The sequence below is a fragment of the Homo sapiens genome, chromosome 16 (genome assembly GCF_000001405.40).
Source record: "Homo sapiens chromosome 16, GRCh38.p14 Primary Assembly".
In the NCBI taxonomy this organism is placed as follows: Eukaryota; Metazoa; Chordata; class Mammalia; order Primates; family Hominidae; genus Homo; species Homo sapiens.
The window spans coordinates 28,018,045-28,033,832 of NC_000016.10; the positions used below are offsets into that span (position 1 = coordinate 28,018,045).

Consider the following 15,788-nt stretch of genomic DNA (forward strand, 5'->3'; position numbering starts at 1 on the left):
GAGATTTAAAAAATAGAAAATAGCCCCAGAAATATGATAGAGCCAGCACAACAAAATTCAAGCCTTTATCGGTATTTAAGGAGCACCCAATTTTCCACTCCATACCATCAGAGAACATGTTGTTCAAACACTGCCTGTAACATTAGTAATGCAACTTTTGGCTGTAATAAAAACCTAACAGTGGCTTAAATAATAAAGGCATTCAGTTCTGTCTCATAACAAGAAGACTGGAAGTAGGTAGCTAAAGATTGATCCAGTTGCTCAACAACATTAGGAATCTAAGTCTGCAATTCTCTGAGACTTCTCCTAGAGGCACAAGATGGCTGCGGTAGCTCCAGACATCACATCCTTACCCAACCACTTCCAAATGCAGGAAATAAGGGGCATTCAGGATGGTGAGAAAGACTTCACTCATATGCCCCCACATCCTTCCATCAGGAGGAAAAATACATCCCCAAAAGCCCCCAGCAGAGTCCTGCTTACATTGCATTGGCCAGAACTGGGTCACTAAACCACTGCTTAGCTTCAAGGGAGGCTAGGAAAGTAGCTTCCCTTTTCAGTCTCCTTGTCAGGTAGACAAGGAAGAATAACAAGAAAGAAGAGGGAACGGCCATTGTGCAGGAAACCACAATGCCACCTTCCCCCCACCCCCAGGCAAGTTAGATGCATCAGTCCCACTGTTGATGTCCTGAGATCAGTCAAATAACCCAGACCCCACCTCACCTGGAAACCGGAGCCCATAACATGCCGCCCCCACATGAAGTGCTGAGACATGTCTGTTTTCTCCATAGAGGCTTGAGGGATGCTCTGAATTGCCTTTGATCCCCAAGCCCAGCTGCGACCTGCACAGAGTGAAACACTTCATGATGCCAATCAGTGGACAATTCTCAGATGAAGGAAGTCAGCAAATGCTCCCCACTGCCATGATCTGCTCGGGTGGAACTCTGGTGTGAAATGGGCCCTTCATGCTAAAGGGAGAAGCTGGTCGAGGTGTCCATGAGCCACTGTACACCCTGTGTCAGAGGCGTTTGAACCACAGCAACTTCATCTTGAATAAGGCCTGGGTAAAATAAGGCTGAGACCTACTGGGCTGCATTCCCAGGAAGTTAGGCATTCTAAGTCACAGGATGAGATGGGAGCACAAGATATCAGCACAAGATACAGGTCACAAAGACCCTGCTGATAAAACAGCATGAAGTGAAGAAGTCAGCCAAATCCCACCAAAACCAAGATGGCCACGAAAGTGACCTCTGGTCATCCTCACTGCTCATTATATGCTAATTATAATGCATTAGCATGCTAAGAGACACTCCCACCAGCGCCATGACGGTTCAAAGATGCCATGGCAATGCCCGGAAGTGACCCTATATGGTCTAAAAGGAGGAGGAACCCTCAGTTTCAGGAATTGCCCACACTTTTCCCAGAAAACTCTTGAATAAGTTTTCACGAGTAGCCATTGGAGTACTCATTCTTTGACACCTATGGAGTCACCATTCTTTTATTCCTTTACCTTCTTAATAAACTTACTTTCACTTTCTATGGCTTCACCTCAAATTCTGTCTTGCACAAGATCCAAGAACCCTCTCTTGGGGTCTGGATCAGGACACCTTTCTGGTAGCACCTGGATGCAAATTACAGGACAGCTCAAGCATCAATCGTCCAAAGGGTCACTGTAATTGTGGACCACAGCAGCAAAGCACTCAGAGAAGGGAGCAGAAATTTAGGCCACGCTAGACCACAGTCTTGCAGACAATGACTTGCTGGCACTTCTAACAGTGGCCCCAGAGACAGAGCATGTGCACTCCTGTTTGCCACAGCCCCTACCACTCCCTATTATTTCTCCATCACCAAGGTCAGGGGTCAGCTGCTGCTCTATCATCATGCTCACCTGGTTCTTCATACCCTTGGCCACTTCCCAAACTTGGGTCACCTGTCTCGCCTTGTAGGCACTAGAGTTTCAGATCCTTGGACTAAAGCACTGAAGATGGTCAAGTTTCCTGTTCTGTGTTTGAAAGTAGCAAGTCCACTCTCTCATCAATGCCTTCGTTCGCGCAGAGACATTGATGTGGCGAGTGATTGAAGTCAAAGACTCAATGCCTGTTCCCAAAGAGATCAAAATCGGCCCTACTGTCTTGCTGGGCATTGGCGACTCAGTCCACCCAGTGAAGCAGACATGCAAAATGGCTATGCAGGGTGCCGTCTTTGTGCGGTGGCTCAAACAGTTCTGGCGGCTACTCCAAAGCGCTGCTATTCATGATCATTGTTATAAGGGGTGTCATTCCAGGGAATCTGAGAACCAATCTACATTTGCAAAATTAAGCAGTAAAGTAATACCCAGAAGAATGCATGAAGGGGATGTGTCTGGCAGCATTTCTGAAACAATAACGATAACTAGTGCTCGTCTGAAGTTTACAATATGCCAACCATTGTTCTAAGTACCTTTCCATGGATTGATTCACTTAATCCTCACAAAAACTCTATAAAGTGGGTACTCTTGTCCTTATGTCAGAGGGGGTGTTGCAGCCAGCCACTGTGACCCCTGGTGAGCTTCATCTCCTGGTCTGCCTGCCCTTTTGCCGTCCTCTGTCACATTGAATCAGGGATGACTTGTGTGACCAACAACTGCAGAAGTGGCAGTGTGTGATTCCAAGGCTAGGTCACAAAAGGCATTGCAACTTCTTGCTAGGGCTTTTGGATTGCTGAATCTGGGGGAAGCCAGCTGCCATGTTGTGAGGACGCTCAAGCAGCCCCGTGGCAAGGTTCATGGGGAAAGGAGCTAACTAGCCAGCCCCAACCAGGCAGCCATGTACGTGAGGCCCCTTGGGAGGATTCTCCAGTGCCAGTCAAAAGTCTCAGATGACTGCAGCTTCAACTCACACCTACTGCAGCCTCCTGAGAGACCCCCAACCCAGAACTGCCCACCAAACTACTCCCAAATTCCTGATCTACAGAAACAGTGAAAAATAATCAGCAATTATTGCTGTTTTAAGCCACTACATTTGGGGATGATTTGTTAGGTGGTGTATTAGTCCTTTCTCACATGGCTATAAAGAGATACCGGAGACTGGGTAATTTATAAAGGAAAGAGGTTTAATCAGTTCATGGTTCTGCGGGCTATGCAGGAAGCATGAGGGGGCATCTGCTTGGCTTCTGGGGAGGCCTCAGAAAACTTACAATCATGGTGGAAGGCAGAAGGGGTGCAAGTACACAGACTTATCAGGTGGCAAGTGATAACTAATCCAGATGGTAAAACTCAGGGTTGGGGAGACAGAAGTTAAATCATTTGCCCAAGGTCACACCACTGCTAAGCAGTGGAGCCAGGATTTGAACACAGACTGTCCAATCCAGAGCAGCTGACCACTCCACTATAGTGCTCCTATGGCTACTTCCAAAAGACATTTGGTTCGTGTTCACCTGTATTCATCTCCCTCTAACTGAGTGCCTACTCTGGGCTCCAGGTTTTACCTACGTTAATGCATTCCGTCTTCCCAGGAACTCCAGCAAATAGGTCTTATTTTTTCCATTTTATTCTTTCTCTTAAAATTTAATCAGTTAAATAATGCATCAATACATTTCTCCTTTAGAAAAATTCAGATAGTAGATAAGACCCCTAAATCTCTTTAGAACTCTTCTGTCCCTACCTCTGGGCTCCTCTCCCAAACTGACCTCATCACTTTGGTGGGTACCTTTCTAACCCTTTTTTTTCCTAATCATTTACATTCATATTCATGTCCCCAAAAATACTACATAGCAGAGCAATGACTGGCATTGGTCTCACAAAATAATGTTGAGCAAGATGCCAGGATATAGCCCAGCTGGGGTTGGCACCTCTCCCCATGGGCCTCGACACGGGGCTACTTGAGCATCCTCACAGCATGGTGCCTGACTTCCCTAGAGCCAGCAATCCAAAAGACTCAGCCAGAAGTTGCAATGCCTTTTGTGACCTAGCCTGGGAAGTCACAGCAACAGAATACACTGTGATTCCGTTAATGTGAATACAAAACCAAATAGGCAAAATTATACTATATAATATGTTTAGGGTTGTAGGCTTAGGTGGCAAAATTATAAAGTGAGTCAAGGAATTGACCGTCGTAATAACACCAGGATAGTGGATACGACTCAGGGTAAAGATGGGGGTAGGAGGTACTGGTAGGACCATGAGGGGAGTTGCTGGGTGGTGGCAATATTTTATTTTTGACCTCAGAGGTGATTACATGAGGTTCAATCAGGGATAAATCATTAAATCGTAAATCATCTTTTTTTAATGCACTTTTCTGCATACATGTTTTTGTTTTTTAGGAGACAAGGTCTCACTCTGTCACCCAGGCTGGAGTACAGTGGCGTGATCACAGCTCACTGAAGCCTCAACCTCCTAGGCTCAAGTGGTCCTCCCAAGTAGCCAGGACTACAGGTACAAGCCACCACAACCAGCTAATTTTTTTTTTTTTTTGAGACAGTCTCACTCTGTTGCCCAGGCTGGAGTGCAATGCTGTGATCTCGGCTCACTGCAGGCTCCGCCTTCTGGGTTCAAGCAATTCTCGTGACTCAGCCTCCCAAGCTGGGAATACAGGCGTGCACCACCACGCCCAGCTAATTTTTGTATTTTTCTTTTTTTGTTTTTTGTTTTGTTTTGTTTTGTTTGAAACGAAGTGTCACTCTGTTGCCCAAGCTGGAGTGCAGTGGTGCAATCTCGGCTCACTGCAACCTCCAACTCCCAGGTTCAAGCGATTCTCCTGCCTCAGCCTCCCAAGTAGCTGGGACTACAGGCATGCGCCACTGTGCCTGGCTAATTTTTGTATGTTTTTTTAGTAGAGACGGGGTTTCACTATATTGGCCAGGCTGGTCTTGAACTCCTGACCTCATGATCCGCCTGCCTCAGCCTCCCAAAGTGCTGGGATTACAGATGTGAGCCACTGCACCCAGCCAACAACCAGTTAATTTTTTTGTTTGTTTTTTAATATATATAGAGAGATGAGGTCTCACTATGTTGCCTAGGCTGATCTCAAACTCCTGGCATCAAGCGATCCTCCCACTTCAGCCTCCCAAAATGCGGGGATTGTATGTATAAGCCACCACAGCTGGCCAGTATACATAATTCATAATTTTAAAAGGTTTTTGTTTAAGAAAATACAAAATATTGTTCTGTTTTTGTTTTATACTTATCATTCTATCTTTCTCTCTTCTATCTTTCTAAGCACTGCTTTTTTCACTTGCCAATAAGTCTAATCCATTTGTCTCCTATAGATTTTATCATTTCATCCTTTTTAGTGGCTGCAGCACATTCTATAGAATGAATATTCCACAATTCATTTAGCCGTCCCCCTATTAATGAACATTTTGTTTGTTCTCATTTTTCTCTATTTTGAATGAGACTGCAATGAACATTCTTGTGCACATGCGTTCATCTTGTGCACATACAAACCCAGTTGAAATTGCTGGGGCAAGGGGTATGAACATTTATGGTTCTGATACACAGTGACAAATTGTTGTCCATTGTGGTCGGGCCAGTTCCTGTCCCACCAGCATTGTGTGAAGATTCCCACATCCCTACATCCTTACCAACTTGTCTATTGTCAAAGTGTTCCTCTTTCTTTGCCATCTTGGGGAAGGAAAACAATGCATCATTATTGTCCATTTCACAGGTGAAGAAACTGAGGCTCAGTGAGCTTAAGCAATTTGCCTAAGATCACATAGCAAGAAAGTGGCATGGTGATTCACATCTGTAATCCCAGCACTTTGGGAGACCAAGGTGGGAGGATCGCTTGAGCCAAGGAGTTCAAGACCAGCTTGGGCAACATGGCAAGACCCCACCTCTACAAAACAAAAAACAAAAAAATTAGCCAGGTGTGGGGGTGCTTGCCTGTAGTCCCAGCTACTCAGGAGGCTGAGGTAGGAGGATCGCTTGAGCCAAGGAGTTGGAGGGTGCAGTGAGCCGTGATCACACCACTGCACTCTAGCCTGGATGACAGAATGAGACCCTGTCTCAAAAAATAAAGAAAAGAAAAAAAGAAAAACAGTGGCAGCAAGAGGACTTGAATTCTGAACTTCTGCCTCCAAACCCAAGATCTTGCCAAGATACGAGGTTTTGCTCCTTAACCACCACGTGCTCCTGAGATGGGCCATAAATAACCCCTTCAATGGGGCTGAGGGCAACTCGATGCCCCCAGGGTTCACAACCAGGTGAGACACATGGAGCCCAGCTCTGGGGCTGGCAGAGATTCCGGGAGGCAAGTAGCCCACCACCTCCATGGAAATCATCAGGGAGGAAATTAGCTCGAAATGGAATCGACAAGGTGCTGCCGCCAACTCCGATTGTAAATTAGATAAACTTGCATCTGACATGATGCGTTTAGAGCAGGGCCACTGCCGGGTTCTCAGCTGCTCCCAAGCAACGAGCCACTGGGAGTGAAAAATAAAACAATCTAGGAAGCTACAAAATACAATAATGAAAGATAACAGGCCCCGGAACAGCGGGAGAGAATTGCTGGGAAATTAGCTAAGGAGCAAAGGGTGGCCTTCGCTGTTGAGGGCAAGAGAGGGTGAAATACAGCAGCAAGGGCAGAAGTCGCCCTCAGAGATGTCCAGTATGAAGTGCTCCTCCCACACTTGCCAGCCAGGTGACCTTAAACAAGTTTCTGAAGCTCTCAGAGATTCTGTTTTCTTGACTGTAAAATAGGAGTCCAAACAGAACACACCTCATAGTGCTATTGTGAGGATTAAATGAGATATTGACTAGAAAGGCCCAGGGCTGCCAATGACAGCTGTTCAGGTTGTGCGTGAAGGAGGGCACTTAGCTGAGGCTGAGCAGGGCTGCATCGAGCCCATCCTCCATGCCCAGAGGGGAAGGCTTTCTTACATTTACCAAAGTTCCCTGTGTGCTGCAGCAGCCCTCAAAGTGCCCAGCACATAATAGGTGCTCAATAAATGGGAGTGTTACCATCACAGCTGTCTGATTTATTTCCCACCCGGGGGCTCAGGCCATGCTGACTGCTGCTGTGATAGGAGCTCCTGTGCAGAACCAAGAGAAAGCCCCACTCCAAGGTTCTGAAAGCCAACCTTGCAGGACTGGGAGGGATGCATCATGGCTCAGCAGTAGCCTGCATGAGAAAGGCTGGGGCTCTGGGAAGAGCAGATGAACCAAGGGTTGCCATGTCCTGCACCTGCCCAGGAGATGTGCACTGCGAGCCATGTCACCAGGAGAGTGGGTGCAGGAAAGGGAGATGAGGGAGCCACTGGGCCTGGCCAGCAGCTAGGGCCAGGAGGCTCGGGGAGCCTTAAATCTCCCCAGATGGCAACTCTGGGCAGGGGCCATGCCACCTCATCTAAGGAAGAGCAGACATAAGGGGGACATGCACCCCACCTCCAAAAGGTTGTGCTCGAACCCTACATCCAGTTTTCGTGCCTTTCCTTGTGCTGTTCTTTCTGCCTAAAATGCTCACTGCTGGATCAATTTCACCATCCTCCCAAGCCCGGCTCAACCCTCCCTGGCTCCGCAGGCCCCCAACGCTGCTGGGCCCAGGCTAGAAGGGCTGACTGTATCTTAATCATCTCTGTCACCCCTGCCTGCCCCAGCAGCAAGACATAATTGGCTTTCAATGTATGTCAGATAAATTCACGAATAAATGAGCAAGAGAGAGCCGGGCCTTTGCCTGGGACCCTGTGAAAGAGCGGGGACCCCATCCCCTGCCTGTTCTTTTATAATTGGGACTGGCAAGGTCTGAAGTCAGAACAGTGTGTTGGGACAGAAGAGGGCTGACAGTTGGGCGTGATGCTCCTGTCATCCTGATGGCCCCAGGGACTGCAACAGAAGTGAAATGTGACCCAGAGCCCAGGCAGAGAAATGCCACAGCAGGCACAGGCTAGAGGATAATGGGCTTGGGGAAGACAGCTCCTTGCTACCAGGAGAATCTCCAGAATCCTTTGGCCTTGCCAGACAACCTGCATGGCTAGGATTGCACTTCTAGCCCAGGGTCATTTTTAAAGAAATTCGTCTGATCAACACGTGGCTCTGGGTCCAAGGCTGGCCGATATTCAGGAAGCCAAACGCCCAGCTAGTCCTCGGCCCGGGTTTGCCAGAGCCCTGGGCCTGCCGTGACTTCATTACCTGCTCACCCATGTCTCTCCCCACAGACTGGGGGCACCTTGAGGGCAGGAGCTGGGTCTCGCAAGATCTTGCAGGTCCAGCACCCGGTATATCACGGGAGCTCAGTCACTGTGTGTGACTGAATGAACAGCAGCAAGCTTAAGAGGAACCAGGAGAGGAGCCCCTTGAGAAATGTCACAAGTTCTTCTACTCCAGCCTGAGTTTGCTCTTCACTGGAGTCTGATTCTGCTGCGGATCTGCCACACATCAGCGAGGGACCTCAGCTGAAGCCCAAGGTGGACTAGAGCAGGAAGCAGGATGGGACTCGGGAAGAGGATCAGGGTGTGCACGAGTCGGCTTTCGCTGCCAGAACAGAGTCCTAACCTCTCAGTGGCCCTCCATACCAGGCATTTACTTCTCATTCTTGTCGCATGAGGGAAGCAGGCTGGACGCAGCTCAGCTGGGCTCTGCTGGGCTTGGCCGGTCTTGGTTACACTGGGCCCCGTCCCTTCGCATTCTGGGACCAGGCAGAAGGAACAGCCACTGTCTGAGGCATCCCATCCTCGTGACAGGGCAGAGCCTCGCTGTGCTCAGATACTGCGTGTGTCCCATCTGCTCACAGTCAATAATCAAAGCAAGGCACACGACCAAATTCAAAGTCATCAAGAGTGGGGCCAGGCATTGTGGCTCATGCCTGTAATCCCAACACTTTGGGAGGCTGAGGTGGATGGATCACTTGAGGCCAGGAGTTCGAGACCAGCCTGGCGAACATGGTGAAACTCCATCTCTACTAAAAATACAAAAATTAGCCGGGCATGGTGGTGCACACATGTAATTCCAGCTATTCGGGAGGCTGAGGCAGAAGAATTGCTTGAACCCGGGAGATGGAGGTTGCAGTGAGTCGAAATAGCACCACTGCACTCAGAAGTGGGACAGTACACGCCCCTTCAGGGACACACAGCAGTGGTGGAGGGGGGAATTAATAATTATAAACAAAGAATACCATCTATCACAGTATGTCATTTTTCACTCTCCATCCTCTTCTCTCCCCTATTCTGGAAACATATGCCATGTGCTCTGGGCAGGCCTAACCATCCCACCAATGAAGCAGGCACATGATCTAAGCCAGCCAATCAGAGTACTCCATTCACACGCTGCAGGCCATGGTGATTGGTTCAGGAATAGACATGTGATATAAATCAGGCCAATGAGAGCCTTCCCTGAGCCTTTTCTCCAGAGTTATGGGAAAGCAGCTCTCTTCCCTCTAGGGTTGCAAGGCAGGTGGGGTTTCAGTGCAGGGCTTATGAGGGGCCACGTTAATTTCCATAGTGAGCAGCACCATACAATCTGGTAGTGAAGATAGAAATGTTCTGCACCATCCAATGCAGTGGCCACTAGTCACATGTTAAATGTGACTGGTACAAATGAGGAACTGAATTTTAAATTTTAAATGGAATAGAGTCTAAGGAATCAAAGAGCATTTGGTGATATTTTTGGGCACCTGTGTTCAGGTGAAACTGACACCACCTAGACTTTGTAGTTCACAGGAGTAGATAATTTTCTTAGACTTGCTTAAACTAGTAGGGTTTCCATCATTAGAAGTAAGAGTCTTGGCCAGGCACCGTGGCTCAAGTCTGAATCCCAGCACTTTGGGAGGACAAGGTGGGAGCATCACTTGAGCCCAGGAGTTCAAGACCAGCCTGAGCAACATAATGAGACCCTGTCTCTACAAAAATAACAAAAATTGCCAGGCATAGTCCCAGCTACTTGGGGGGCTAAGGTGGAAGGATTTCTTGAGTCTGGAGGTCAAGGCTGCAGTGAGCTGTGATTGCGCCACTGCACTCCAGCCTCAGCAACAGAGCTGACACCTAAGGCCTCAGCAGCAGCATCACCTCTATTTATTTAACCAAACTATGTGCCAGGCATTTGGCTGGTCACGTACATGTGTCATTTCGTGAGTCTTTCCTAAGCCTATCACAAGCCCAAGAGTCAGACTGCCCTGGGCCCAAATCCCACCTTCACCTACAATTGGCTGTGGGACTTTGGGCAAGCTACTGAACTTCAAGATGCCTCAATTTCCTTATCTAGCCAGTGTAGTTGATGGGCCATGAAGGCCAAGGGAGTTATTACATGAGAAGTGCCTAGACCCGTGCCAGGCAGGTAGAAAATAATCCCTCATGTTGACTATTTTTATTATTTTCATCCCGATCTTGAAGATGAATAAACCAAGCCTTGAGGAGGTCAAGTCACTTGCAAATTGACAAAAGTAAGACTTGACAAAGCCGGGATTGGAACCTAGGCCTACGATTCCCGAGTGTAAACTGTTTACCACTGCCTCATTCTGCTTGTGGCTTTTAAACTCTGTCCACAGTAACAATATAACAATAAGAATAATATTAATAAGACTTAGCACTCATTGCATGGCCAACAGTTTAAATCCTGGGCAGTTCTGCTTCAGAGTCCCAGCTTTTAACTCTCAGAGAAAGGAAATTATTCCTTATTTAATGTTCCTCCTGTCCTTCCATTAATACCAAGGAGAAAGTCTCAGCTTGGTGCTGATATGTTGTTAATGCCTCTATAGCACTTGCTAATCTCTCTTTTGAACAAAGAGAGAGCCAGCCTCAGGCTCGGGGCAGATCATACTATCTAGAGGAGACATAATATGCCCCTTCCTTAAGCCTCCAGGCTTAGGCAGGAACTGCCTCTCTTCACAGTGCTGTGGTCCCCGGCAGCCAGAAAGGCAGTGGCTAGAGATGAGGAGGCCTGGGCTTCAGGGAGCTCTCAGACGCTGCAGCAGTGACCAATAGCCAGCTAGGCTCTCCCAGCCCAGGTTTGTTTTGGAGGGTGATGCATGGCAGGGCACCAGGCGACCCACATCAGCTGATGAACAGATCCTCAACCTACGGAAAGCACCTTGCCTAACACGGGATCAGGAGCTGTATCTGAGGCCTGTTTCTGAGTACCTTCTCCACTGTGGTCAAGGTAAGGGTCCTTGAGCTGTTCCCTGCCTTCTCTGGGCCTCAGTTTCCTCATCTGAGAAACAGAGATAAGAATACCTACCCCCAAAGAAGGGTCCTAAGAAACAAATGAGAAAGTGCTGTGTAAAGAACTGAATGAATGTGAACTGTTGCCATTTTCATTATGTGAGTAGAAGTGCGTTATTTATAAGTGGAATCAGCAGCATCAAGTAAACTGCTGACACCAGACTGAGATGGGATCGTTTGTATCATTCTGAATTATCTTTGTTTTTGTGTCTGTCTGTCTCACTATGTTTTGCTCTCCAGGGCAGGGATCTTCTAGTCCATCTGGCATAGCAAAGGCATCAGCAATATTTGTTAGATGGATGGATTATGAATGATGGAAAAATGGATGGCTGAATGTGTAGATATATGGGTGCATGAAGGGATGGATGGATGGATGGATGGATGGATGGATGCATGGGTGGATGGATGGATGCATGGGTGGATGGATGGATGCACAGGTGGATGAATGGATGGGTGGGTGGATCATGGGTAGATAGATGGATGGACTGTAGATGAATGAATGGATGAGTGGTCATGGACAGATGGAAGAATGATGGATTCATGGGTGATGGATGTATAATGGATGAATTAAAGATGGATGGATGATGGATGAGCAATGAAATCCAAATGCAGCTTAGGATGCAACTCTTGCTGAGTCAGGATTTTACTCTGGTACTGGATATCAACTACACAACACTCTCAAACTACAAGGATAGCGTGTGTGTGTGTGTGCATGCACGCACATGTGGGCCGTGTGTGTTCACGCACGCACATGTGGGCAGTGTGTACAGACATGACAGGCATGCCAGCTCGTGGGATGAAACATCACAGATGGAGGGAGCTCCAACAACCCTGAAGGAAGAGGAAGAATGAATTTTCCAGGAGGGCCAGAGAAGGGCCTCTTCAGAAGGGAACTGCTTGTAAAAGGCACAGAGGCATGAAGAAGCTTTTTGAAGAAAGATAGAGAGGATGTTCTGTGGTTCTGCCTGCCAGCATCCCTCCTCCCCTTGTCTAGTAGCAGAACTTTGATTCTCCTTCGGGGAACCAGCAGCTCAGTCCGTGAGTCTCTGTTGAGGCTAACTCCAACCCCAACTCCAGAGGTGAGCGGCTGACCCAAGCCTAGCCTATCAGAGCACCACATTCCTCACACCTCAGTGGCAAGCTTAGGGATGGACCCAAGCCCAACAAATGAGAGCCCTCTGGGGACTTTTACTGGTGCCAAACTGGGTGGATATAAACCTGGAGCTGCTGGGGCCACTACATGAAGAGGACTGCCAGAGAGTGAAACCAACAAAGGATGCAGACCTCTGAGAAATAGAAAGGGAAAAAAAGAGGAGACAGACAGAAGGACAATGGGAAGTTGAGAGAGATACTGAAACCAGTTGATGTTATATGAGCACCTGGATCCAGCTGAGACTGAAGCCCCGCTACCTTTTTCTTCACATAAGCCAGTAAAAATTTGTCTTTTTGCTTGTGCTGGTTTGAGCTGGATTTTGTCACTTGCAGCCAAATAAATTTCCCAATTCATTTTTGAATCCCAATGCCCAGACCAGGAACTCGGGACCATAGGGATAGGATGGGATAGGATGGGATGGGTTAGGATGGAATGGGATGGGATGGGATGGGATGGGATGGGATGGGATGGGATGAGATAAGTTGTATTGGGATGGGTTGAGATGGGGTGGAATGGGATGGGATTGGATAGACTGGGATGGGATGGGATGGGATGGGTTGGGATAGGATGGGTTGGGACAGGATGGAACAGGTTGGGATGGGATGGGATGAGTTGTATTGAGATGGGTTAAGATGGGATGGGATGGGTTGGGATGGGTTGCGATGGAATGGGATAAGATGGGATGGGAGGGATGGGATTGGATGGGATGGTATGGGATGAATGGGGTGGAATGGGATGGGATGGATTGGTATGGGCTGAGTTGGGATGGGATGGGTTGGAATAAGATGAATTGAGATAGGTTGGGATGGGATAGGATGGAATGGGATGGGATGGGTTGAGATGGGAATGGGATGGGATGGTTTGGGATGAAATGATGGGGTGGGATGAGATGGAATAGGATGGGATGGGATGGGATGGGGTGGGATAAGATGGAATGGGATGGGATGGGATGGGGTGGGATAAGATGGAATGGGATGGGATGAGATGGAATGGGATGGGATGGGATGAGATGGGATGGGATTGGATGAGATGGGATGGGGTGGGATGAGATGGGATGGGATGGGATGAGATGGGATAGGTTGGGATGGGATGATGGGATGGGTTGGCATGGGATGATGGGATGGGATGGGAATGGAATGGAATGGGATTCAGCCTGGCTCATAATGATAACCACACCCATGCCATGCTGAGACTAGGAACATTATTATTTGCACTCACCTATTAACTTTCCCAAAGCAGGGTGTCCAAGAGCTTGAGGCTCCCTGAGGTTATGAATGGATGCACCCATTTGTTCATTAATGAGAGGCTTGAACACAAAGGTGGCCTAGAATTTTCTGCCTACTTTAAGTTCTCAGATTCTCTGTGGCAAGCTGAGAGACAGGCTCAGTTCTGACCCCAGCACACGGATAACCCTCCATAAACATCTGTTAGCTACATTAGTTAATGCCGCCTTATATAAAAGTTAACATAAATACAAGATTCACTTTCTGAATGTGCGTAGAGCTGTTTCTGACAGACGAACCTCCATGCCAGGGGCCTGAGAGCAGCCACTCCACAGAGATCACGCATTTCCTAATTCCTTGCCTTGATGGCGGAGGGGAAAAACACATGCCCTGGGGCTCCAACAAGGAATTATAACCCCACTGGAAAGGAAAATAATCTGGAAGTGGAGAAAATTAGGGCTTATAATGAAAAAGCAACCAGAATTCATTACAGCAAGATCACAGGGGAACTGTATCTCTTGGGTATTCAGGAGACACGGAAGAGAAGAGACAGCTCCGGCTCTTTTACTGGAAGGTTCCTCTCCAGTGAGCACCTCTGACTTTCAGGGCAGAAATAGCTGGAGATGCACGAACATGATGGGAAACCCAGAAAGGCTCTTTTTCTTAATTTTGGTATCCGTCAGACTTGGATTCTCACCTTAGATTAGGTAAAGCCACTGAAACAAGTAAGAAAGCCTCTAGGATCCAAATACAAGCAGCTGCACAATTTCTTTCCATTCACTACAGGCCATGTTTGCTTTTGAAAATTAGAAAATTACAAAACGAATAACAAACACGAATGACAACATGCAGAGCTGGCGTAGTGAGAGTGAGACAAATAGATTCATACGTTGATGTATGCACGACGCGCTCTTCCAGGCGTCTCAGCCCATCCTGGGGCTGGCGGCTTCTCCGTTGATGTCTCCAGCCTGATCACACTTCTGGGCTCTGAGATGTATTTTGTTCTCTCCCTGTCTACTTGACATTGCCTCTGGGCTGTCACACAGACAGAACAAACATAACCCGGCCAGGTCTGAATTTAAGATCGCTTCCTTCCCACTAAATAAACAAACAAAAACCTCTTCCCACCTCAGTCTTCTCTATCTCAGTAATGGGCACAACCATCTCTTCAGGCCAAAAATCTAGGAGTTGTCCAAAATGCCTCTTCCCCTCTCACTCCACATCCAATTTGTCAGCAGATCCTATTGGCTCTTCCTTCAAACAATATCCTGAGTCCATCCAGTTCTCTCCATCTTCCCACAAGGCCGAGGCACCATCATCTCACCTGGCCCCCCACCTGTTAACCCTTCAATATCTGCCTGCCTTCATCCATTACTCCCCAGTCCTCAATCAGAATGCACTTTTGTTAAATGTAAGCCACGTCCTGTCACCTTCCTGCTTAAACGCCCTCAAAGGCACCCCAGTGTATTTAGAATAAAGTCCAAATTTTATACTGCAGCCAATGAGGTTCTGCACACCAGGGTCCCTCTCTAGCAATCTGACCTCTCTCCTTCTACAATGGCCCCATCAGCCTCCATGGAGTACTTCAAATCTGCCCACTGCATCCTACCCCAGGGCCTTTGCACCTGCCAATCCTTCTTGCTGGACCACTTCTTCCCTCTCTTACCGTCCTCTAGGTAACTCAAGTGTCACCTCCTTGGAGAAGCCTTCTCCGACCTCACTATCTGAAGGAGATCAGCTCCCCATCTACAACCGCCAGAGTAGAACAGTGGATAGAGTGTGATGTGATGCCATTTATTTTTTAAAAATGAAATATTAACAGATGAATTCTTTAAAATGCCACCAGCGGTTGCCCCTGGGAGGGAAGTGGGTGACTGGGAATGAGATTTTTTGTACTGCCTTTGAATTTTAAACCAAGGTTCATGTTATTATTCCAAAGAACATAATTAAATCAAATAAAAAAGAAAAAAGTAAGGTAGGAAGGGGAGGAGGAAAGGAGGGGAAAGGGAGAAAGAGAGAAAGGAAAGGAGAAAAGAAAGAGAGAAAAAATACTCTTGGGGAATTCTCCTAAAGAGGTCATGCAACAAATAAATTGTTCTGTTCAAGAAAATAATCATTGTGTATTAAACTGTAAGGAAACAAAAAATTAAAATAAAATAAATGTCCAACAACCCAAGAATTACTCAGGAAATAGTGCTCTGTGGTTAAGATGCAGTAGTATGAAGCCATTAATATTGATCATTATTATGACTATGGAAATTCAGAGAAATGTTTATGGGGATAAT

At 47.4% G+C, this 15,788-nt stretch overlaps 1 protein-coding gene across 5 annotated transcripts in view, besides 2 other annotated features; it reads right to left on the reverse strand.

Annotated features, from left to right (window-relative positions):
• Positions 1-15,788, reverse strand: part of GSG1L (GSG1 like) — a 276,187-nt gene that overhangs the window by 230,517 nt on the left and 29,882 nt on the right. The window lies entirely within an intron of this gene.
• Positions 637-1,836: an enhancer, noted in NCBI's record as "BRD4-independent group 4 enhancer chr16:28030002-28031201 (GRCh37/hg19 assembly coordinates)". NCBI's record gives its function as "activates an origin of replication core promoter dependent on BRD2, P300/CBP, MED14 and CDK7 cofactors, and independent of BRD4, by STARR-seq in HCT116 cells {active_cell/tissue: HCT116}" and the evidence as "EXISTENCE:reporter gene assay evidence [ECO:0000049][PMID:35650434]".
• Positions 8,554-9,054: an enhancer, noted in NCBI's record as "H3K4me1 hESC enhancer chr16:28037919-28038419 (GRCh37/hg19 assembly coordinates)". NCBI's record gives its function as "activates a minimal SCP1, AML or CMV promoter by ChIP-STARR-seq in naive H9 embryonic stem cells {active_cell/tissue: H9 hESC(naive)}" and the evidence as "EXISTENCE:reporter gene assay evidence [ECO:0000049][PMID:30033119]".